Source organism: Homo sapiens, chromosome 11 (genome assembly GCF_000001405.40).
Source record: "Homo sapiens chromosome 11, GRCh38.p14 Primary Assembly".
NCBI classification, from domain to species: Eukaryota; Metazoa; Chordata; class Mammalia; order Primates; family Hominidae; genus Homo; species Homo sapiens.
This window is the reverse complement of record NC_000011.10, coordinates 126,976,716-126,999,425: the sequence shown is the minus strand read 5'-3', so window position 1 is coordinate 126,999,425 and position 22,710 is coordinate 126,976,716. Positions and strand designations below refer to the sequence as shown.

Here is a 22,710-nt window from a genome sequence, read left to right as displayed (position 1 = left end):
AGCACTGCCATGGGTGGCTGGCTTTGCAAGCAAACAGCATGTCTTCTGTTTCTCCCCTGTCGGGGAGAAGCCAAATATAAGCAAAAACCTGGCTTCCTTCTTCTGCTCTTCCACCCGTGCTTGTGGTCACTGCAGACTTTCTCCTTATCTGTGCAGTTCAAACTTTGCTTCTGGTCCTCCTGATGAAACCGAAGGGGCTCCTTCTTCATATTTGTATGTGCATACTAATGCCTGTGTATAATGATAATGTATGTACACACACACACACACACACACTCATGTATTCATATGGTTGTGTGCTTCTCACCAAGGCTCCCTACAGCAGCAGGAAGATAAATTGCCTTCCCCAGAGTTTCAGGCTGAATGAATAAGAACTCTCTCAGAACACTGGTATAGAGACAGGTTCAGTTATATTACCATTTGGTAAGATTACCCTCTTTCTTGGATGTGTATGTGCTTGCTTATGAGCACACACACACACACACACACACACACACACACACACACACTCCCATTCGTCTTTGCTTCTTACCAGTTCACTCAGGAAGTTTTGATATAGAACCCCTGAGAAGGAGGGAATCTTCCAACCAACCCCCCGTAAACACACAAACTCACATTTGCATGGGACCAGTGCATGCTTTAATCAGCCTTTTGTGTAGTTAGAAGCTTGATCCGTGATACTTATGTAGATTGGCATAAGAAGGCTATAGGTGTCTAAGTACCTCCCTGGCCGTCTGAATCATTACAGTGTACATCTTCTGTTGTGCTTATTTCTTTCTTGGTCTGGAGCTGTTTCTTGACTGCTTCATGTGAATCTTTAAATATTTACCTATGGAGGTTAAATGCTCTGTTTTATCTACCCCGAGTCCTGAGAGCGCTAGGAAGAAACCATAACATCATGCAGTTCTTAATGCCTTGTGCTCCTGGAGTGTTCTGAGCTTGGCCATCACTGTCCACCCTACCAAATGGTAGATACCTGGTCCAGAGGCTGGAAAACAGGTCTAAACAAAAATGAGGAGACCCAAGTGGACATGGCTGGTCAGATACCCTGCATCCCTGTACATGGTGTGCTTCTTGAATAGACAGTGTCCGACTATGGGAATCAAGGGGTCCAGCCATCAAGTGGGAAGGTGTTTTATGGACTTCACTGCAATGTGATATGGTTATCTTTTGCCTTGATCTGTGGAAATTTGTTTATGTGGATGTTGTTTTGAGCATTATGAATTCCCCAGAGGATTCTATTTGACCATCCTCACATATATGCTTAGCTCATGTACTGTGCCCCACCTCTACCCAGTGTCATGCATTCATCAACTTATTGGATAGAACGCATCCATGTCTAACAGGTCCTGGGAGGTCTAGCCCACATGGCTCTAAATGGCTCCACTGTGATCCCCCAGAATGAGGCCTGAGGTTACACCCCCCCACCCGGCACCCTCACACAGCCACCTGCTTGACCCCTGCCTCCTGCATGCTGGGATGCCTCTCCCAGGAAATGTGAAGAGACCCAGGGGATGGCCTTTCCCTCAGAGACAACAAATGTCCAGGGTTGTTTTTAGTGCCTTATCTGGCACTCCGATGACATGGCCATCTGCTGTCCAACACATCTCACAGTGGGAATCTGCATGGCACTTAGGAGTTTCTGGGAACAAGATTCCCAAGCTCCATGCTCCCAGTATCTTGGTCCCCGTGCAGAGAGAGTGCTCCAAGCAGTGCTCTCAAGATACAAATAAACTCTTAAAGTCCGTTCCAGCCATCCTTTTCTTCCTAATTTGTCAAATGTTTGTTTACCTTTACTTTTTCTTATAACCTTTTAGAGAGACAGAGAACAGAAATCAATGTATAATTAATATCAGTAATATGGTGGGTCCCTATTCTTTGAAAGTTTGGGCTTTTCATGTAGATTGAGATCAAGTATTTCTTTATCTTTCTTAAGGTGGCAGTAGTAAGGCTAAATAACATTCCTCCCGATTCCACCCCCGCCAGAGTCCCCAGGCCTGGCTCCCAACAAGGGAATGGAGAGCTGCCAGTGTGTACTGCTTGTGGGCTTCTCCCTTGCCGTGGATGCCTCTTCCCTCAGCTGTCAGGACGGTCATGCTTTGTTCAGAGAGGGATAATGTCACAGCACAATTTGCCTCCTGCTGAGAATAGACATGTTCTGCCCCTGGGTGAAAAAATAATCGATTCTTTTGTCATCCATAAACTTAGAACTTGCTATATTTTTTCCTCTTTATCATTTCAGTTCACCCACAACTATTTCCTTCTGTGCCCTCCTTAAGCTTCAAGCCCCATCCCATCCAGCCTGCACATGCACAGCTTAGGTAGCTTGGAGGGAATAAGGTCCTAGAGGACTGATGACTCCCTGCCTCCAGGGAGATCTCTGATCTCCACCTCGGAGACAGGGGAGATAGACAGGGGAGCCACAGTGGCAAGAACTTGGCGCCTTCTACTCCAGACACTCGCTCTTAAGAAAGGTGGTCTCTTCCCTACTCTCTGGCATTTTGCTCTGGCATTCCTAGAGCGTCCTGTCCTGCCTTGTGATTCTGTGGTTGTGAAGGTTCTAATTCTGCTGAACCCAGATCTTTTGGCTTTGCATGCACACTGTACTGTATTGGGGTAAAAGTGAAAACTTGCATTTACCTGTTAATGGCATCCCTGAGCTAAGGATGCATTTGAGGTACCATCTCCCTACTGGGAAGAATCTAAGCAGCCCACTTGCTCTCCTGCCTGGCTGGAAACACCAAAAGGGGCTGTCAGCAGCTGTCAGAGGGCAGAGGGTCATGGTGATCTGAATCTCCTAGGGAATAGAAAGGCATCTCGTAGACAGAAGGGTAAAATAGAGTGAACAGAGGGAGCCAGCCAGGGTGAAGGGAGCCATGGAGATGACAAGAAGCATGGAAAAGGAGGAGCCACTTCAAGAGGCTTGAACTAGCAAGGAGTTCCCTTGGGAGGGGCAGGGTTGGGGAGGCATCGGAAGAGAGCCTGAACACATCAGAGGTGGCCTAAAGAATGGAGGGATCATAGGGGGTACAGGCAGAGAAGGAATCAGCAAACAAAGTGGGGAGTGAACAGCAACTTTGGAAACACTTACACTCACTCAGAAATGTCATAAAACAAAAGATGAGGGAAGTAATGTGTGTTTCTCCCTCCTACCAGAACCCCATGTGGGATGACGTCTTGTCTAGAGGAAGAAGAATCAGTTCTTTTGTGCCAGAAGGTCAATACACAGCTGCCAAGGGTGTGGGACCACTTCTTTAACAAATCTTCGGGTGGGGAAACTGGGGCATGTCTGTTGGAAATGGGGGTGGTTGCATGTCTGTATCCCAGTAGGGAGTCCTCAGTTGCCAGCCAGACCTATTGAGGATGGAAAAGAAAGTCCCTAGGGGGAGGACGAGTGGGGTGGGGTCAAGGCCTTCACATTGCTCTAAGAGGATACCATGGGGTCCCCCTCTTGGGTGTACAGAGGAGGATTTGGCTTGGAACAGGCAGCGGCAAGCTAGGCATGGTACCAAGAAGCAGCCCTGCCTGGTGTGTGCCTGTGTTGGTGGAAGCCAGGGCCAGCAGGAGATGGGGTGGAGCAGGAGATTAGGCCCGAAGATGCAGTTTTTCTTTTTTGTTCAGCCCAGTGGGGATGACTTAGGCAGCATTATATTGCAGACCCAAAAAAGCACATGAATAATCCAGAGCGAATTGAAGAGATTTCAATAGCAAAATAATAACAATACTAATGATACCTTTGATTTGTGGAGTACTTTTCTTCCAAGGAGATAAAAAGATAAACTGTTTTGGAAACATGGATGAGGAAAAGAAAATTGCCCATACTGGAGGAGTGAGGAGGAGGGCCAAAAGCACTGGTTTTATGGTCTTGATATAGATGGGGGATGCTAAGGGGGCTAGAGGGGCATAGGCATTATTTTGCAGCTACAATCCTTATCCTTGTAAATTGTCGAGATGACCTTAGGTGAAAAACAGTGCAGGCGTTTTTTTATTGGGGTCCATCAAGAAACAGAGAGGCACTGAACTCGTCCTGTGCCTGGGAAGAGGGGTGTTCTAATTCATCAGTGGAGAAGGTCAGTAAGATCATGAGCATGCTGGAATGCACACTTCAACTCCCCCCACCACAGTGATCTTGACTTTAATGGTGGCGCTTGCAGCAGAGTGATTGGAGCTCTTGTCTTGCCTCGAGGCCAGCGGACATCCCAGCACTCTTGGAGCAGGGTCGGTGGGAGCAGCTGCTCTGGGGGGCTAACAGTTCCCTTGGATTTCATATCCCATCACAGCTATTCGTAAGGGAGTGAGCAGCAAAGCCAGCCAGTATACTGCGCCCAGGTTGTAATCGCTTCATCCTGTATTCCAAGTAGAGTGGGATTTTTATTTCCAGTTAGAGGAATGATGTGAGAATCGACTGCACCGAGACACAGTACTGTTCCATACGTCATTGCATGTCATTTTCTTTTCCCAAGAGAAAGTCAGAATTTACCCAGTTAGAAGTGCAGGTCAAGTAAGAACATAGATACCTTATAGATCATCAGAATACTTCTCTCATGGTTGGGGAAGGGATGCTATGTCCTGCCATCTGCCAAAGCTTTATTATGAAGCACGGAAGGGCTTCAGTCCTCTCAGAAAGCACACTGTGCCATAGAGCCAAGGGTCACAAGAGGGTGGGGGATCTTCTCCCCCATTGAACCTCCCCCTACTGCACGTTAACTTTCATTCACTCATAGCTTCTAACTCACTGAAGGAGCTAGGACCATTATGCTTTTTAATTCTTTTTCTCCTCTCCCAGTGGTAAAAATGAGTATTCTGGCTGTATACTTCTAGAAGTTGGTAAATGTCAATATTGGATAAGTGTTTCCTTTATATCACTGCAATTTAGCATAAGCTGCTTGGAAACAAATGTCTTCCATAAGCATACAATGTTTCAGTGCGTACACAGTCAACACCACTATGAACATTAAATAAATGTCAGCTATTCCTTGGCATACTTGGTAACAAGTTAAAGCCATGGAAATAATGGCCAGCATAGGTGAATCTGCTCTGTGTGGAGCTGTTCTGTTGGGGCATGAAGGGTGGAAAGAGGAAGTCATCCTTCTTCTCCTTGGAAATAACTGCAAAGGGGGCAGCCAAACACAGACACCTGCCTGCATCCCCTGGACAGGTTTTTCCTGGCATCTGGAAGCCTTCCCACGCCCTCCTGACCCCCTACTGAACACATACACACACACACACGCACACACCACTTAATGTTAAATCAGTGTGATATCTCCAGAATCAGCCACTTTTCTCAAATGGGAGCTATGCTCTCACCCTACTCTTTGCCTGTCTTCATAGGCAAAGCAAAGTAGATTTATCTGAGGCTGATTTTTTTTTTTTGATAATTGAAACTAAAACTGCAATGGATGGCCTATGTATGTCAGTATAAGAAAGGATGTGTGCGCATCATGCTGAATTATCTAGATGGTCTGCTCACTTGGCCTGTATTCAGTGGATTGTTGTTGCAAGTTTCTTTTTAACTTATGCAGATTCTTTTTAACTTATGCCTGGACAACTGGAATCTGAAATCTGAGGCCAAGAGTTGCAGCAATAACAAACAAACATCGCTGTCACTATTCCACATTTTCCCCCAGGGGCTCCACATAGTCTAGTGTCTCAGTGGGTGAAATATGCTGCTCCTTCCTTTGTGATCAAATACCATTTTATGACACTAAGGCTCAGCCCTTGACCACTCAGCCAGCACTCACTGTGGGCCTCCTATGCAGTAGGCACTGTGCTGGGGCTTTTGATGCAAAGATAATGAAGACCATGTTTCTGCCCCAGAGCTCTTAGTCTGGTTGGGGAGCAGACACTTCGATTAAGGTTACAATATGATGGGTTCAGAGCTGTCAGAGTGTTCTGAAAACAGGTGGATCAGCAAAGGCATCAGAAAAGGTTGCACAGAGGAGATGACATCATGCTTGATATTATAGGATGCTCAAGAGTTCTCTAAACGAAGCATGAAAAGCGATTTCCAGTCTCTTACATACCTTACAGTGTATGCAAATACAAAAGGCAGAACAGAATGCGATATGTTCAGAAGCCATGGGCAGTATGATGGCTAGAGTGCTGCTGTGTTAGGGAAGTGGGAGAGGAAGGTTGGGAAGGGAAGAGTCAACTCGTGAATGGCCATGGGTGCCATTATACATCTTTTGAGGATGGATTGAGATAATTAAGTAAACACCTGAGAAACATTGCTAGTAGCCTATGGGTTTGTGGTCCTCTCTACATCACGGGTTTAGGGATCAACATGTTATTTTTACTTCTTGGTATTTCTTGTGTTTCACATGGGGCTAAAAATGTAAAATTGAATGGAAATATACTTTTTAATCGTTCTTTCTAGCTGATGGATGAAGTGAGCAAGAGAATAAGTATGGGGGGAACTGACCTTAATGGTTAGTCCACATTCCAGAGAGGAGGCACAGAAGGATGGTGGGTAGATGAATGCCAGAATGATGTGTTAGCTAAAGAATGTGGAAGAGAAGAAAAAAGATCATGGAAACACACAGAGGCAGGACTGCTGGCTGCACGCTGGACTTGAGCAGAAAGAGTGCATTGAGGAATGAGATTTGCCAGTTTGTGGATCCCCTTGGCTAGTTAGAGGCGCAGGCAGCCTAACATTGAAGATGGGTGCTAACCAGAAGAGGAAACAGCACTGGAGCAGGTGAGCACAAAAACCTAGGGACATTTTGCTGATGATGTCTTTCTTGTTCTCAAGAGGAAGCTAAGTTATACTGGCTTTAGGGAAACCAAGGTTACAAGTGAAACAATTCTACTCAGAAGATGTTGGAAATGTTTTACAAGGCTCTGGCACTGAGTACCCTTCCATTTAAGAGTAGAGAATATCATCAGATCTACCTGTATGTTCCACACTTTGGCCTGTTCTCTTCAGGAACTGGTGGAGGCTGGCAGGACAAGCTCAATGATGAAGCAAAACCCCGATTGTTCAGCAAGAAATAGACAGTGTTATTTCCATGACTGCGGATATGTAAGTCTCAAGTCTAAGGCTGGCCCACTGAACAGTCTCTCATTGCTGAGAGTGTTCTGACTCACGGTGGAATTCAGGCCATCAGGAATGTAGGAGTCAATTCCTGAGAAATGGGTTAGAGAGTAGACTAGATGACGTCCAAAACCTCTCCAACTGTAAGATTCTCTGAATATTATCTCTTAGCAACAATCTATTTATTTTGGATGACACATTCCTAGGGAGTAGGTGATGCATTCTATTTGCTCTTTGCCAGCAAATTTTCTTGTAGGTGCCTGGCAAATTCTTTTGGTTGTTGAGGGTGTTGTTAGTCGTGGCAGTAATTATGTTCTTATGATGATGATGGTGATGATAACTAGCATTTGTGTAAAGCTTCATAAGTTGCAGAGTGGCTTTCACAAGCACTACCTCATTTCATCAGCAGAAGTAATGAGAAGTGGGCATTATTGCTGTCATACCCCCAGAGAGGTTACTTTGCTTGACTAAAGTCATTTTCAGTCTGGTTCACTTATTCATGTGCCTTGATGTTCCTCAAGATGCTGGTACATCCAGCTGTTCCACATCAACACTAAAAAATGCAGGAGAGTATCCTAAGCTGTGGTGTCATAAGACAGGTCATAGTCTTATAATTTGTGGCAATCCCCAGTGTCTAGGACTGGAAAAGGATTTTAGGGAGTTTCCTATGAAAATCATGCATCCGAATCCCAGGTCTGACCTTCGAACAAGGAGGCAGCATTGTAGTTCAATTTCTTTTTTATTCCAGACTCTTTCTGAGTCAGTTTCTTTATCTTTCTGGCATTCAGTTTTACCTCGGGGTACAAAGTTTCCAGAGGAAATAACAGGCCAGGCTTTGGGGCTGAAGAGTAATTAAGGACATACTGCTTGAGTAGCTCCTTTTGTGGCTGTTCTGACAAATAATAATAATAATAATAATAAAAAGGAAGGAAGCAAAGGCAGGGACTTTGCTTCTCTTAATTGGTTGATTAAAATCCAAGTCTTTTATCACCCCTGGTGTCTAGCACACTATTGGGCACATAGAAGGCTGTGAATAAGTGTGGAAATATTGGAATGGAATGAGGGGTAATGAGAGGAGAAGCCAGCAGTGCTTGTAATATCAGCACATGGAGAGATGCTGAGAGGGCCCCTGGCAGGAGGCAGAAGAAGAACCTGACTAAGTGAAGTGTGGACGTGCCCTGCAGGAAGTTGTTCCTTTCTGGAAGGCTTTGAATGCCCTTTGGGTCACCAGAGACAACGCCAAGAGAAACAGCCTCTGCCAAGCCACCCACTGCTCAGCTTCAACAGGAAACCATCGCGTCCTTCTGTTCTTTAATGCATGTCAGTGCCCATTTCTGTCAGTCACCTGCAAATGTCACAGGTGACTCGGCTCTGGTGCAGTGTGACAGTCCACCTGTCACCCTTGGCAATGCTGGGAGCAATGACAGCTTCAGAGTAACACTGGGGCCCGGTTGGTTCATTGCACAGGAAGCTTAGCACGTTCATCCGGGAGTGGCAGGAGGAGTGATTCCCACCCTTCCCTGCCTCACTGACCTTGTGGCAAAGAAAGCAAAACCACCACTTAATCCCTCAGTGGTTGCGTTCCCTAAATCCTAGGACCTGCACTTTTTCTGCGTCTTGCTAGAGGACGCTGGGGTCCACCCCACATTCACAAGGAGTTCTGTTTCTTCAGGGAGATGCCCTCTGAAGCCTTTTTCTTACATAGGAAGCTGCACCTGAGTGAGGGGCAACTGCGGAGGCAGAGAGGAGCTGTTCTTCTGAAGCCGCACCAAGAGCTGGGGCACTATTTTGGGCCCTGACGCCAGGTGAAGGCTGCAGTGCCTCAGTCAGCCTGATGGTGGCAGCAGCAGCGCTTGCAAAGCCCTGAACCTGCCCAGAGAGAGCAGAGCCCGGGAGGTCCCTTAGGACGGGGAAGGGGAAAGCCTAGTGGCTGCCGGGAGCTGGGAAGGGACGGGAGGGATGGGGGGCTCTCCTCCTCGCCTCTGGGTGGTGAGGGCAACGTTACAGATGGCGGCGGCTCTCGCAGGAGGCGGGTTCCTCTCTCCTGATTCTGCAGGGTGTGAGGGTGGAGTGTTTGAGGGGATCCGGATGAAGGGTGGCAGCAGCTAAGGGGGTACAATTGCAAATGCTCAGAGGGGCTTGAGAGAGCTTCAAAGAGAGGGAGCGAGGAAGCTCAGCCCACCACACGGGTTTCCCTGCCACAGGGATGATGTTTCTCTCCTGTATGTGAAGGTGAGTCCTCCCCAGCAGGGGGACCGCCAGCCCAGAGCCCCTACCTCTCCCTAGAGCCGCCTCCAGGCCTGTGCCCCCTGCCCCGCTCCAGGCGTTTTCCCTTCCACAAGGAGTGATTCCACCCTTCCAGGGTCAGGGAGCCAATATTTCTGTTGTCATTCCCCGCAAATGCTGAAAAAACAAAACAAACAGATGCTAAAATGAGGCTTCATTATTCCTGATCTCCTGGGCAGGCTGTGGAGGTGCTACTCTGTTTTCACCTCTGGATGGTATTACTAATTTCCAACAACACCATTATAAAAAACCACCACGGGCCATGGCTGTTTGAACATCCTTCCAGGCAAGATAACTGGATCCTGGCCACAGGCCCTGGAAACAATGGCCTTCATGCTGCAGGAGAGACACCGGGGGAACCCTGTTGGCCCTAAGACTTCGTTCCCCTGTTGGCCCTAAGACTTCGTCATGCCTTTCTTTACCTCCAAGGGGATGGCGGCTCACCTTTTTTGCCACTTGATAATTGTGACGAGATGTGTCTGAGATCCCGAGTTGATCCACAGGCAGCGTGAACTAAGATAGCGGGAATAGAATGAAGGAAAGGTGCAGCCACCATGGGAACAATCCACTCCCTTGTCTGGTCTGCAGCCTGAGTGGTTGGTAGAGCTGGCGGTTTATGTTACCTTTGGCCTTTCATTCAGTTTTTCTGAAGTTGCTGGAGGGATTTTCTATACGGTGTGCTGAGACCCCAGCAGCTTCCCTCAGCTGACTCACCATCAGAGTCCCTTGCCGCTCTCTCTGCATCAGGGTGAGCTGCCACTGCCCCCTTCGTCCCCACAGTGCCAGCCTTTCTGGGCAGTGGAGTTGGGCTGAAGGCAGGATTGCTGTCTTCATTTTACTGATAGTTCTACTAGCAAATTCCAGGTGACTTCTTCAGCATCTCTTGTAGAAAAGAAAACTTTTTGCATAAGTTTTGCAAAACCTTACTTCAAACTGCAGAGTTGATGCTACAAGGGTAGAAGAGGAAACATAGAGCTGCATAGTTTGAGAATTTACTGAAAATAATGGGGACTGAGCTCCTCCTCAAATTAAAAGATGTTATACCAACGAGGTGTTTGACCTTGGCCCTGCTGTCCCCCGACCCCTTGATTTGGCCACTTTTTCCCTTTCTCCTTTCACCAAGAGCTGCGTTAGTGTTTTGGGATACCTTAATAGAAAGCTGAACTGAGGAGGGAGGAGAGTGGTGAGAAAAAAAAATCAAAACCTGTAATGGTTTCAGTGTGCTGGCCTCAGCATGTTTCTCTACCCCCGAAGCCTTGTGATTGCTGAATGGGGACCAGCCACGGGGAGATGGTACTGAGGCCTGTGGCCAGGCCCACTGCTGAGTTTTGCATGCATTCCCTTATTCCATCCCCTAGCAATCTAATAAAGTAGGGATCCTTAGACCCATTTGCCGATGAAAACTACTGAGGCTTAGACAGATTCGGTAACTTGCCTGAAGGTCATTCGACTGGAGAGTCAAAGACCTGCCAATCAAACACCCTTGTGCAGACCCCTTACAGCCCTTGCTGCTGCTCCATTCAGGAGCCACCTCCAGGCCTATGCCCACCTGTGCCCTCGACACGGCTGTGGAGGCACCAGTATTTCTGAAATTCTTTTTTCTGAAATTCTTCAGGAAGGATTTCAGAAATACTGGTGTCCCGACAGCCGTGTGACCATCAGCAAGCCACAGAAACCCCTGCCCTGGCCGGTGGGTCCCCTCCTTCATAGCTTGTAGGATTTGGGACGGAGAGCTGATAAAAATGGAAGAAAACCTCTTCCCCCAAACAAAAGCTGAGTAAGAATTTGAGAAGCTTTCCTCCATGGCTAGCGACTGCTCTCTGCCTCCACAACCCACTTCCAGTATAGCTTAACATTTTGAAAGCCAAATGCTGATTTCTTTAAAAGAATTCATCATCACCCAGCTTCCCTTCAGTGGATTAAGAAATAAATAAATAAATCCCATTCTGCTTAGGGAGAGTTGAGCCTTGTGGTAGCTGTGTGCTGGAAGAATGGAGCTACTCTACATAAAAAGACTTTCCAGAACTTCAAAACCCTCCTTTTCTGTCAAGTCTAGAATAGTAAAAATATCAGGAGATTACGTGTTTCTGAAATGATTAATAATGGTTATTAGGGGGAAATAAAAAGACTCTTAGAATGTAGGAGAGCCTGAGTGTCATAGAGCCTATGATTCTTTTCACTTTGGTCTCGGCTGGTACAACTTACCTTGTGTCAGAAATCATTTTAGAAGATGGCACATGTCTACCCAGGCCATGCTTAAAATTGTAATATTGGTTTAAGATAGACACTTATGATAAACTAGCAAAACATGAAAGTTCTTTGACGTTTTCAAAGCTCCTTTAGATCGAATCAGAGCAATACAGAGGAGGAATGCAAGGAAGATAGATCTCTGCATAGAATACTTCAAATGCCTTCTTTTTACTTCAGTGGGACATGCCGTCATATCAACAGAGCCTTGGCAGCTGATGCCTGGGTTCCAAATCCATATCAATGCTCCTTTCTCTGGGCATGAGCTTTGTTTTGGGTGTTCTCTTCATCAGATTGGGACAGAGGTTTTTGCAGAGAGAAATCCATACTTTACAGGTGAAAACAGCTGAATACTGGAACTGGTCAGAATCAAGACATACCAACCAGAAAATCTGAACACTTACCTCTCCTGTTTGTCTGTGAAAATAACAGGAAATCTACCTTTCACTCTTATTATCAACAGATATTCTAAGATCCATGCCATTGTATTCATGCCAAGGAAAGTTTGAAAATACATAGACGGTTGTATTTTTTAGTTAAATTGTCTTAGTCTTGTTCATTGTTGACTTTATGCGTACTATAGACTCTGCTAGATTTGCTCACTCACAATTGCAATGGAAAAGGAATCTTTGTGGGTCAGTGTATCCCCTTAATTCTAGGTGTAGACTCCCTTTGCGTGTTCCTGACAGGTAATTATCTCACATATCAAGGAAGTATTAGGGTCTTTCTATGGTTCCTGGGTTATCTGAGTTCGTAGATTCTCTATCACCGTGGTTCTTCAAGTGTGGTCTGCAGGTCAACTTGGAGATTGTTAGAAATCCCCATTTTTGGACCCCAGTCCAGACCTTCTACATCAGAAGGGTTTTGACCAGCAGCCTGTGTTATACCGAGCCCACCAGCTGCTCCTGAGGCCTGCTCAGCTTGGAGCACAGGTGCCATCAAGGCTGAGTCTTGCTTCCTTATGGTGTCCCCTCATTTTCACCTCCATGTGGACACTGCTGATAGTAAGTCTACAAGGGAGTCGAAAGTCACTTTCTAACCAGAGAATTTAAGGTGACTCGTGGGAGCTGCCTCTCATGTTTTCATGTTACATCAGGAATCGGGATCTGTCCTGGGCATAAGAAGCCAAACTTACGATAAGGTCATACCTATGATGTGGAACACAGCAGCTATGCCAATCCGTCACTGACATCATTGCCTTCCTCTCACAACTGGAAAGAAATCAAGAGTGCTTCCTTTCAGCAGGGCTTTCCTCCCTGTCCCACCCCAGTGGAACCCAGGGAAGCAATGTCATAATCTATGTTGACAGGGAAGAATGTCTCTAAGAGTAGCCATAGATTTTCTTCTACCTGCACTTTAGAAAGTTGATTTTAAAGTCAATGCTGTACACCAGAGATGCTCTTGTCCATAAAGGATAGATTTTCTGTTTTGTACAGTGAAGAGATTCAGAATGTATATAATAATGCACCCCGAGAATTCTTGCTCTGTATTTTTAAAAAAATATTCAAGGTCAATACAACCACAAGTATTGATATTCACTTCATTGTGAACTGGGATCTGCTAGCTGCTTATTGTCATTTTATTTTTCAATTCATAAAAAAAAATGTTCTCATCACTAGGCATCTGGGCCTCTTTTTTCAACCCAACTCACCAATGGGAAACCAAATGCATGAGCTGATGAACCCAGCAACCAAGAGGGGCTTGGGGGGAGCCAGCCACAGATTTAAAGGCCCCCTCATCCCACAGTGGATGCCGTGTACACCCTGTGTGCATCCCCAGGTGGCTGAGTACTGTAGTGATGGTAGAGGAAGGGGGAAAGGCACAGGTGGTGGATTGTACAGGCCAGAGAGGAGAGACAGAGAAACAGAAAGACTAAGTGAGCTGGCGTGTTTGTGAGATACTCATTTTAGGCTTCAGGAGATCACTAGGCTATATAGTGTCCAGAAACAACAGCTTTAACTCTCTCCCATCCAGTAGGGGGGTCATGAAGGCACATGCCTTATACTCAAGGTTTTGAAGTTTCCTTTCATCATTGAACTATGTCAGTAGCTCCGCTGTGACAATAACCAAATCATCAGCTTTGCACAGAGTTCGCTATCTTCTCATGGGTGTACGTTCCTTTGACAGCATCCCGACACCTTCAGGACAAAGAGTCTCAGAATGAAAGTCTCCCCACCCTCTCATATGCCCCTTTACTCCAACACACGGAGCCGCTGACATTGTCCGAATGTGCTCTGCTCCCTCGTGCCTCCTGTCCCTCTGGAGTGGCCGTCTCCTCTCCCCCAGGTTAGTCTAGATAACTTCTACCCTAAAGACTCAGCTCCTTTTGCCTCCTGGTGGAAGTTTCCTTGACCTCTCTCCCCACAATCTAATTTAAATGCCCTTCCTTCCTTATTCCACAGCGCCCCAGGAAGCCTTTTGTGGCTCTTACTATGATTTATCCACATGGAGTGTTTCTGGTCCGCCTTCCCTTCCATATTGTGAGCTTCCTGGCGGCCAGGGCTGGGTCCTTCTCACCTCCATCTACCGTGCAGTGGCTTTGTTGGACTTGGGCGCAGAGTCAGATACAATCAGTATTTCTTACATGGGAAAAGAGCATAATGTGTCAGGGATTCTGGACAACTCCTACCTTTCCGTGCCCAGCATTTCACTTGCAAACCCATGAAAGTGTTTCATCAGAGAACGTGCTCTATTTATCATTATTATTGCCTTGTACAACTCGAGTACCTATGAGCACCGAGTCCTCCTTGGGGAAAAGGTGATAATAATTTAATCCTTCCTTGCATGTGTATAGTATTTCATAGTTCCAGAACACTTTCACATTAATTATGGTCTTCCTCCCTGAATCAACTCTTATCCTGCCTTTAAAAAGTAAGGAAAATAAGGCCAGGTTATTTTAAGTGGCCTCTCTAAAGTCATACAGGTAGTGGGTGGGAAAGTTAAAATGAAAACCCAGGAGTTCAAATCCAAGCCCAGGGTTCTTCCATTTCCCTCCTCCAGGTCTCCTCCCTGGGTTCCTGCCCCCGAAGAGTATGTGCTTAGAGGGTTCTTGGCAGAGGAAGCTCCTGGGGGCACTTCCTGCGGGCTCACATGGAGCTTGGTGGAGTGAATACTTCATTGAGAGGCAGGAGAGCAATTTGTGCGGGGAGCTTGGACAAAGTTCCTGGTAAAAAGTGGTGGTTGATTCCAACTATGGCACAAGGGTCTCTGTGCAGAGGCTAGGGGAAAACTGCTCTTGACTGAGGCCCTCTCTTGTAAATGAGGCATAACAAAGAGAACATAATAACTCCATTATAGTAAGGACTTAGCACCTGGCAGCAGCCAGTGAGAATGGCCTGGAAGCTTTTCCCAGGGCAACCTTTTACTGGGTCCATAGGCTGTGACCCCCCTGCACTGCATCTGCCATGAAGTGTCCGTCTGCCCCCCTGTCAATCAAGGAAGACCTGCTTGAAGGCATAGAGCACTCATCACAACTCCTCATCCTCCAAGCATGTGACACAAGCCCTAGAGCAGAGGCTAGACAGGCTACAGGCTCTGTCACTTGCCTGGTGCATGGCCTTGGTATGGAAGAGGGAAGGAGCCTTTTTCTCCTCCTTGACTCATGAAGTTGTTGTGAATCTCCAGAGAGAATACCTTTTTGTGAGGGCTTTGAAACTCTATGAAGGGCACTATTCAGAGGTGAGGTACTTGCCTTCCTCTGGGTCAGTGTCTCCAGATGTGCTGAGCTGCTGCCCAAGGTCAGAATAGATCTGGTTAGCATCCTCAGTCTCTTTTCAAGACAAGGTGCCATGTGGCTTTCTGGGCGTGCAAGTTTTCTCAGTGGGGCTCATGGGGAGAATTAACCTCTAATACCATAAAAGGCATCCATTACATGCAATGAATTAAATTATTTCCTATGCATCTAAAATGATACTAGATATGTACTACTTTTGGGAGAAGTAAAAATAGTTAATCATATTATTCTCGGGGTTCTCTGGTTCAGAGGAGGAATCTCAGTTGAGAAAGGCTATGTATGGAGTGTATTTGTTTCCCAGTGCTGCTGTTAACATGTTACCACAGACGTAGTGGCTTAAAACAACACAAATGTACTATCTTAGCTTCTGGAGGTCAGAGGTCTAGAATGGATCTCACGGGCTGGCATCCAGGTGCTGCAGGGCTGTTTCTTTCTGGAGGCTATAGGGAAAATCAATTTCTTGGCCTTTTCTGGCTTCTAGAGGCAGAGTGCCTACACTCCTTGGCTCGTGGCCCCTTCCTCCCTTCACTCCAACCTCTTGCTTCCATCTTCACCTCACCTACTACTGACTCTGATCCACCTGCTTCTTTCTCATAAGGAACCAAGTGATTATATCAGACCACAGAGGGTAATTTAGGAAAATCTCTCTCTCTCAAGACCTTAACTTAATTACATCTGCAAAATCCCTTTTGTCCTGTAAAGGGATTAGGACATGGGCATCTTTGGCGGCCATTATTCTGTCTACCGCAAGAACCAAAGGCAGACGTTAGATGAGCCCTCCCTTTCAGAAGAAAATATAGGCTTTCCTATCCTACCTCTCTGTGTAAGAAATCTGTGCCTCAGCCTCACTACTTGTAAGTTAGAGAAAATGACCTTCCCCCGTGTGTATCTATTGGGATTATCAAATAATAGGTGCTTAGTACAAAATGGTTATTATAATATTGTACCTACAAGTAGCCTCACTACTTATAAGTTAGAAAAAATGACCTTCCCCATGTATATCTATGGGGATTATCAAATAATAGGTGCTTAGTACAAAATGGTTATTATAATATCATACTATGACTTGGCACAAATTACGCTTACATAATCAATGGAGTTACTACTAGATGCAACTATCATTGGGTCCCATGGGGGAGAGATTAGCAGGCACATCTATTAGATGCTGTAGTTAAACCTCACTAAATGATTCTTAACAGCAATTTACTTTGGCTTTATTAGTCTAGAGTATGAGAACTCTCCTTTAAAATACTATAGACCTTGGCCTCCTCCTGTCTTTGGAGTAGTTGAGATGAAATAGAGATGAGCAACAACAACAGTGTGAAAGAAAGGATGAATGGACCCTGCGTTTGTCCATGTATGATTTGCTGCAGGGTAGGAGGCTTACTGCCTGCACTTTGATTTTTCCCTCCTTGTCTGCTTACAGCATTGTGTTTCTAGCATTTGGCTGAGGATCTGGCTAGAAAAGAGTCACGCCTGGAGGTGTTGGGCTGGGGGAATGGGTAGAAACAGTACGTGGAAGTAAAGGAGAAGTGGCAGCTCCAGGATCAACTTAGGTGTCTTGCTGCAAAGGAGAGATACGATTATAACATTAGATGCCACTCATTGTTGCCCAGGTGTTGAAGTTCAGTTAATGTACTTTAAAGGCTTTATGAAGTCTCCCTCAGGTTTGAGAAGATTTAAGAAATTAGGGAACTTAGTCCCCTCCCCAGTGTCTTCCCACCAGATGCATCAAGACTCCATAGAAGACTTGAGGCTGTTAGGCCTGAAGGCCAATGTGCCCAGGCTAGGGCCAGCCCCTGAGCCTACAGATGGGTCTCTGAGTCCAACCCCTTGCCCACACCCACCTTACAAGTCTCTGACAGCTCTACCTTAACAAGCCCAGAGAGAGAAGCAACCAGTAGACAATGATAACATCTTTGTTGATAATAGGTTGATAATGATAATAGGTTTCTCAAATGTTCAGCCCTTGAGGAACCTGTGTCCAGGAAAGGTTTAGTTGCTGTTAAACAGTTGCAGGTGGGAGCATTGAGGCTGGGTCTGGATCTCTGGGCTCTGGGGAATTAAAAGAAAGAGACAAGCCTGAGAATGATTATAATCCCATTATGCAGAGCTTCCCCTATTTATTTCTTCATATGGATGAATTTGTATATATTTGCATTTGTTCTATCTGATAATATGCATAGAATTCAAATTGAAATGACTTGAATAGATTTGAATATTAATGAGGTGTTTAAAGGCTGTCATCCCAGCAGAGCCCCCAAGCAAGGGAGTGTGTGCTACAGAAGCTCAGATGGCTCCTCCAGGCACTGTCAACAGAAACCTCAGGCCTAGAGCTGGGAGGCACCTTGGAGAGAGGCCCTCTTTGGTAGAAACGGGGGCCTTCCCCAGTTCCCCAGGCACCAAGCTCAGGAACCTACTCCAAGGATGGGGGTGCATTGATAAAAGCCCCCTGAGCATGTGTGGCTGAGACCTCCTCCGACACCCAAATGTGTGGTTTTAACAGTGCCATAAAAGGCAAGATGTCTTCTCAGATTAAGAAATACCTCCTTGCCTTTGCTTCATAGAGTCGGGTGGTAGAGGCAGATCTCATTTCAGTGAAACAGGGACCATGTGTTTAGCTCTTCCTTAGTGACTTAGGAAGGTACTGGACTGTCTTCTGCCTGGAATCCTAAGCTACACCACATATAACACCTCCTGAGCATTTTCCTCCAGAATAATGGCGATTAGGCAATATGCTGTCAGTGGGCCCAATGGCCATCAGCCTCCTTCTTCAGGGTCTCATAAGAAATCACTTGATACTGGTCACTGCAGCCATCAGCAGTAACATCTGTAGCCTGCCTAGGTCCCAGGCTGAACACTAAGAACAAATAAAATAGAATAGCTTGCAAAAATAAGAAGGTCTTGCTGTGGTCCAACGGGCCATGCTTTCCTTCTTTTGTCTAAAAATCCAGGTGACAGTTTGTCCAGAGAGGTACGTTTGTGGTATTAGGCTTCAAATATCTAGAACTCAGCATCAAGGCTTTCAGGCCAATCATGTAAGAATAGTACTTTGTAGCAATTTAAATTGAATAATGATAGTCCACGGTACAGAGATCTAAGTATACCATCTCTCATTGCTAAGTACTGAGGATGAAAATTTCTAAGTGATCTCAAAATTATTTTATTGTGTCCTAACTGAATCTTGGTTCTTTCCACGTTCACACTCCTAGCACCCATTCTGGTGGCTAATTCTGAGAGTAACAATGAAAATATATTTGTGAGTTGTTGATTTTCCTGATCGGTGATGCTCTCACATGTAGCCCAGTATCACTTTTAAAACAACATTCTAAAAACTAAACTCATTATTTTCTCCCCAATTGGGGTCCTAATCTCCGTAAAGAGCATCCTATATTCCCAGCACTTAGTGTGGATGCCAAGTCACCAGCCTCTTTCTCATCTCCCATAACCAATTAGTTCTCTTGTCATGACACGTTTTAATCTCTATTGCCTTTCACATGGATCTATACTGCCTTTCCATTTTTCCTTCCATTGCCCTACTCATGTTCTCCAAAACTATTATAGCACCCTATCAAGTTCCTCGATTTTTTTTCTCACAGTCACCCTTCACCATTGTCATTCATTACCACTTGTATCTTCATAGGGTACACAATTTACTCCTCCCCTTCTCAGCAAGCCCACTGGCTACCCTTTGCCTGTAAAACAAAGCCCCAATACCTTCACTTGGTATCTGACACCTCCATCCTTACCCAGCTTTGAAGGTCCCCTACAATCTGTAGATACTTGCATTTGTTCTATCAATTCATTCTGTCTGGCACCATCTCTCTTTCCAGCATCTTCCTCTCCATCCCTCCTTGCTCTTCAAGCTTCCACCAGAAAAAGAATATTTGATTTTCCCTGGATATGCCATGCCTTTGTATCCTTGCTTATGCTGTTCCCTTAGCTTAAAATATCCTTTTCCTCATCATTTACTGAAATACGCTTCATATTTCAAGGCTTGGCTCAAAGGTTACCTCTCTGTGTAGTGATTTCCTGTTTCCCACTCACAGTCACTCTGCCCTTTCTTCTCTGCCGACATAATGTGTATATTCTATCCTTTCATGTGTTCAGTTCTGTCCAGCTTGTTCTTGACTTGATATTTTCCCAACTCAATGGTAAGTCCTATAAGGAGAGAAACTCTAATGTTTTAAAATTTTTCATATCATCTCTGACAGTGCTCAACAAATGTTTAATGAGTGAGCAAATGAATGAATGGGAAAGATACCATATTATGTTCTAAGTAGCATCCTTCTGGTCCAGCCCTTGCACCCTCTAAGAGCACCTGGTTTTCTTGAAAAGATGCTGACGTTTCTTAAGCATCTGCTACAAAGGCCAGGTCCTCTCCTATGATTTCATTTAAGTTTTCACAGAAACACTATGAAGGAAACACCCTTATTTCTATTTTGCTGACGAGGAAACTGAGTCTTAGTGAGGTTAAGACATTTTCCCCAGGTCATCTCTCTAGTGGATAATAGAGCCAAAACGAAAGCTCAAGCCTCTATCTCCGCCTCTGGTGTCCTTCACTCCCCAAGAGCCACCTCTCTGCGTCAGCCAAAGAACAACCAGACTCTCACCTTCCCCAGACTTCGAGTCAGGCTTCAGTGCTCTGGGAGAATGAATTTCCCGCAAATCAATCCTGGATGCAGTTATTATTTTATAGGGATGTTGTAAGTTGATAAGGTAGCTGTTATATGTTAATAGCTATTGTAATGTTGTTCTTAAGGCCTATTACTTGTGCTAGTTTGTATTTTAATGTATGCAAAGGTGATTACAACTTTAATATGAATGTTAAACCGATTAGCTGATTTATATGTAAAATAAATAAATAAAATGAAACTCATACTCTCATTTCTATTCATTTCTCTCTCCCTTTCTCTCTTTCCCCTCTGCCCAAAGGCAGATGTGGTCTGTGGAGCATTGACAATGGAACAAAAAGAGAGTGTTTGCTGAGTGATAAATAATGGTTATAGACGGGTCTTTTGTTCCGGGTGAATTCGGACTCTATGTCCTTAATAGCTGTTTGTCTGAGAGTTTGCGCTTTTCACTGTGTTTGGGAGTTCAGTTTTGTTGGAGAGTTGTACATTTGCCATTCTCCCCCTTGAAATTATGTTTCCCATTTCTGGCAACCCTTGTTGTTTTCTCAGTACACACTGGGAAACCTGCCAAACTTTCAGAAAGGCAGGTGTACCTCAATGTATTCAGGGACACAGGGCATAACAGGGAAGCCAGGTAAGAGAATAAGCATCCCGGGTGCAGAGAGGTAGGGACCCAGGGGACATCCACATATGGTAGCTCCTGTGGGAGCAGACACTAGGGTTGCCTAGCCCACCTTGGGGGAACAGAGCTCAGAGAAACTCCCACCATGAAGCAAAGCTCCAGGGCAGAGTGGACATTAGCTAAGAAAATGGGCAGAGAGCGGGATGAGGAGAAGAGGGAGTAGCAGGTGCTAAAGCCTGGGAAGCATGGGAGAACGTAGACCACTCAGGGACCCACACGGAGCTGGGCGTGGCCAGAACCAAGGAGCATCAGTGGCTGAATGCACTGGGCATAGACCTGGAAGCCAAAAAGCTTTCTGGCCAGGGCACGTAAACACAAGAATATATTGGATGATAGAGGGAGCAACCTGTTTGAGGTTACCAGGGGACTTTCCTTTAGGACATAATTGCTGCCAGGGGTTGGGTTAACAAAGAAAAGAATGCAGGTTCATTCCAGAGGTTCCACACATAAGAATGGAGGAAACCTAATTGGCTAAAGTTTGAAGGGAAGGTGAAGAACACGCCCACCACAGGGGAGGACAGATCTGACACAGGAAGAATGTTGGTAGAGGAAGTGGAGCAGGGTCACCTTTCAAAGAAAATGTTGGAGAAGAGGAAGGGCAGAAGCAACCCTGAAAGAATCGCATAATTGATTACCTGCATGCCCTGCATCATCATAAATTTAAGTAGCAGAAAAATCCAACGCCACAATGTGCTGACCATTATCCCTGGGGCTTGTGGCCACAGGCTTGGAAGGAGGCACTTTTGGTGGGCTGCCGTGCTGGAGAAGGAGGCTGTCAGTAGACTGGCAGCAGAGTCGTACTACAGAAATCCACTCAATGGAGAGTGGGACATGTCGTGCCCAGAAACTGAGTGAGGACACCAAGAAAAAGGAGACAGGGATGCCTCTGACTGTGTGGTACACAGGAAATTGATGCTCTTTCCTGATCCAAAATATCAACCATACATCAGGCACAGGAGCCAGTTCCAGCCAGGGTTGACAACTTCAGCTCTCCAGACACTGGTTGGAAGGCTGGTCCTGCTGAAACAGTGTTCTTGACATACTTTTTAATTGCCTTACAAGCAGCTTGATCATTCAGAAGGTTGGGGAAAAATCAATAAGGGACTCTGTCACTCTGGGCTCAAGTCTAACTCATTTTCACTTTTTCAACAAATATTTATCGAACACCCACTATGTGCCAGGCATTGTGCCAACAAGGTATAAACCTGATGAAATAGACAGGTGCATAGTAGGCATTCAATAAATGCTTGTTGAAAGAATACAGGAATGATTGAATTAATATAATGGGAATCTCGAAAGAAAGTGGATGCTAATCTTAGGAATTCATAATAAAAACAGGACACTGGGCATGGCCAGACCCTGATCCTGGAGGATCAGGAGCATCGCCAGAGGCAGTAGAAAATAAACAATATGAAAAGCTGGGTGATGAAAAAGAAAGGTGGCTCAAGAAAGATGGCAGCTTCAGTGTTTTGACAGCACCAAACGAATGATCCTGATGAAGAAGGAAAGGGCGGCAGCATCCGAAGAAACCAACCTGACTGCGCAGACACTCTCCAAGGAGCTCAGTTTTGAAAAAAAGGTACAAAAGATGGCAGGCGGGGCACCTGGCAGAAGAAGAGGACAAAAGAGGTGCAGGAGCCTGTAACAAAGGTGCCAAGTGACACTAAGACCCAGAAGGAGCTGAAGCCTGCAGAAAAAGAAAAAAGGAAAAGAGAGATTTTTTTAGGTTTCAAGAAGGAAGAAGAATAAAAAGGGCAGTCCTCCTTGGGAAATGCAGCATGATGTTTATCAGTTACAGAGAACTTCTTCTTAACTCTCTTGGTACTCTCTTTCCTATCGTGCTGTTCATAGTTGAGGGACGATCAGCTGAATTGAGAAGGAATTAAAACTTGAGATAGGGGATGTGACAGGAAGAGATCATACAAGTTGGTGGTTTAGAGTCACCCAGATCAAGGATTAAGTGCCTAGCTCCACCGTGAAGTAATAACCTTATGCCAGTAGTAACCTCCCCTCTCCTTTACCCTTCTATGATGTAGACATATCAAGAGTATGTATGCCATAGATTTGTTAAGTAGATTAAATGATACGCTGCAAG

At 45.5% G+C, this 22,710-nt stretch overlaps 1 protein-coding gene, 1 long non-coding RNA gene and 1 other non-coding gene across 19 annotated transcripts in view; 2 read left to right on the top strand and 1 right to left on the bottom strand.

Moving 5' to 3' along the window:
- The window catches only part of KIRREL3 (kirre like nephrin family adhesion molecule 3), a 580,037-nt gene that overhangs the window by 3,969 nt on the left and 553,358 nt on the right, over positions 1 to 22,710 (top strand). The window lies entirely within an intron of this gene.
- LOC105369558 (uncharacterized) lies at positions 3,958 to 6,995 on the bottom strand. The gene is made up of 2 exons (NR_188549.1): positions 6,892 to 6,995; positions 3,958 to 4,346 (listed from the first exon to the last, which is right to left on the bottom strand). It is a non-coding gene; the product is annotated as an uncharacterized LOC105369558 (long non-coding RNA).
- Positions 10,884 to 10,968, top strand: MIR3167 (microRNA 3167). Its single transcript, NR_036126.1, has one exon. It is a non-coding gene; the product is annotated as a microRNA 3167 (primary transcript).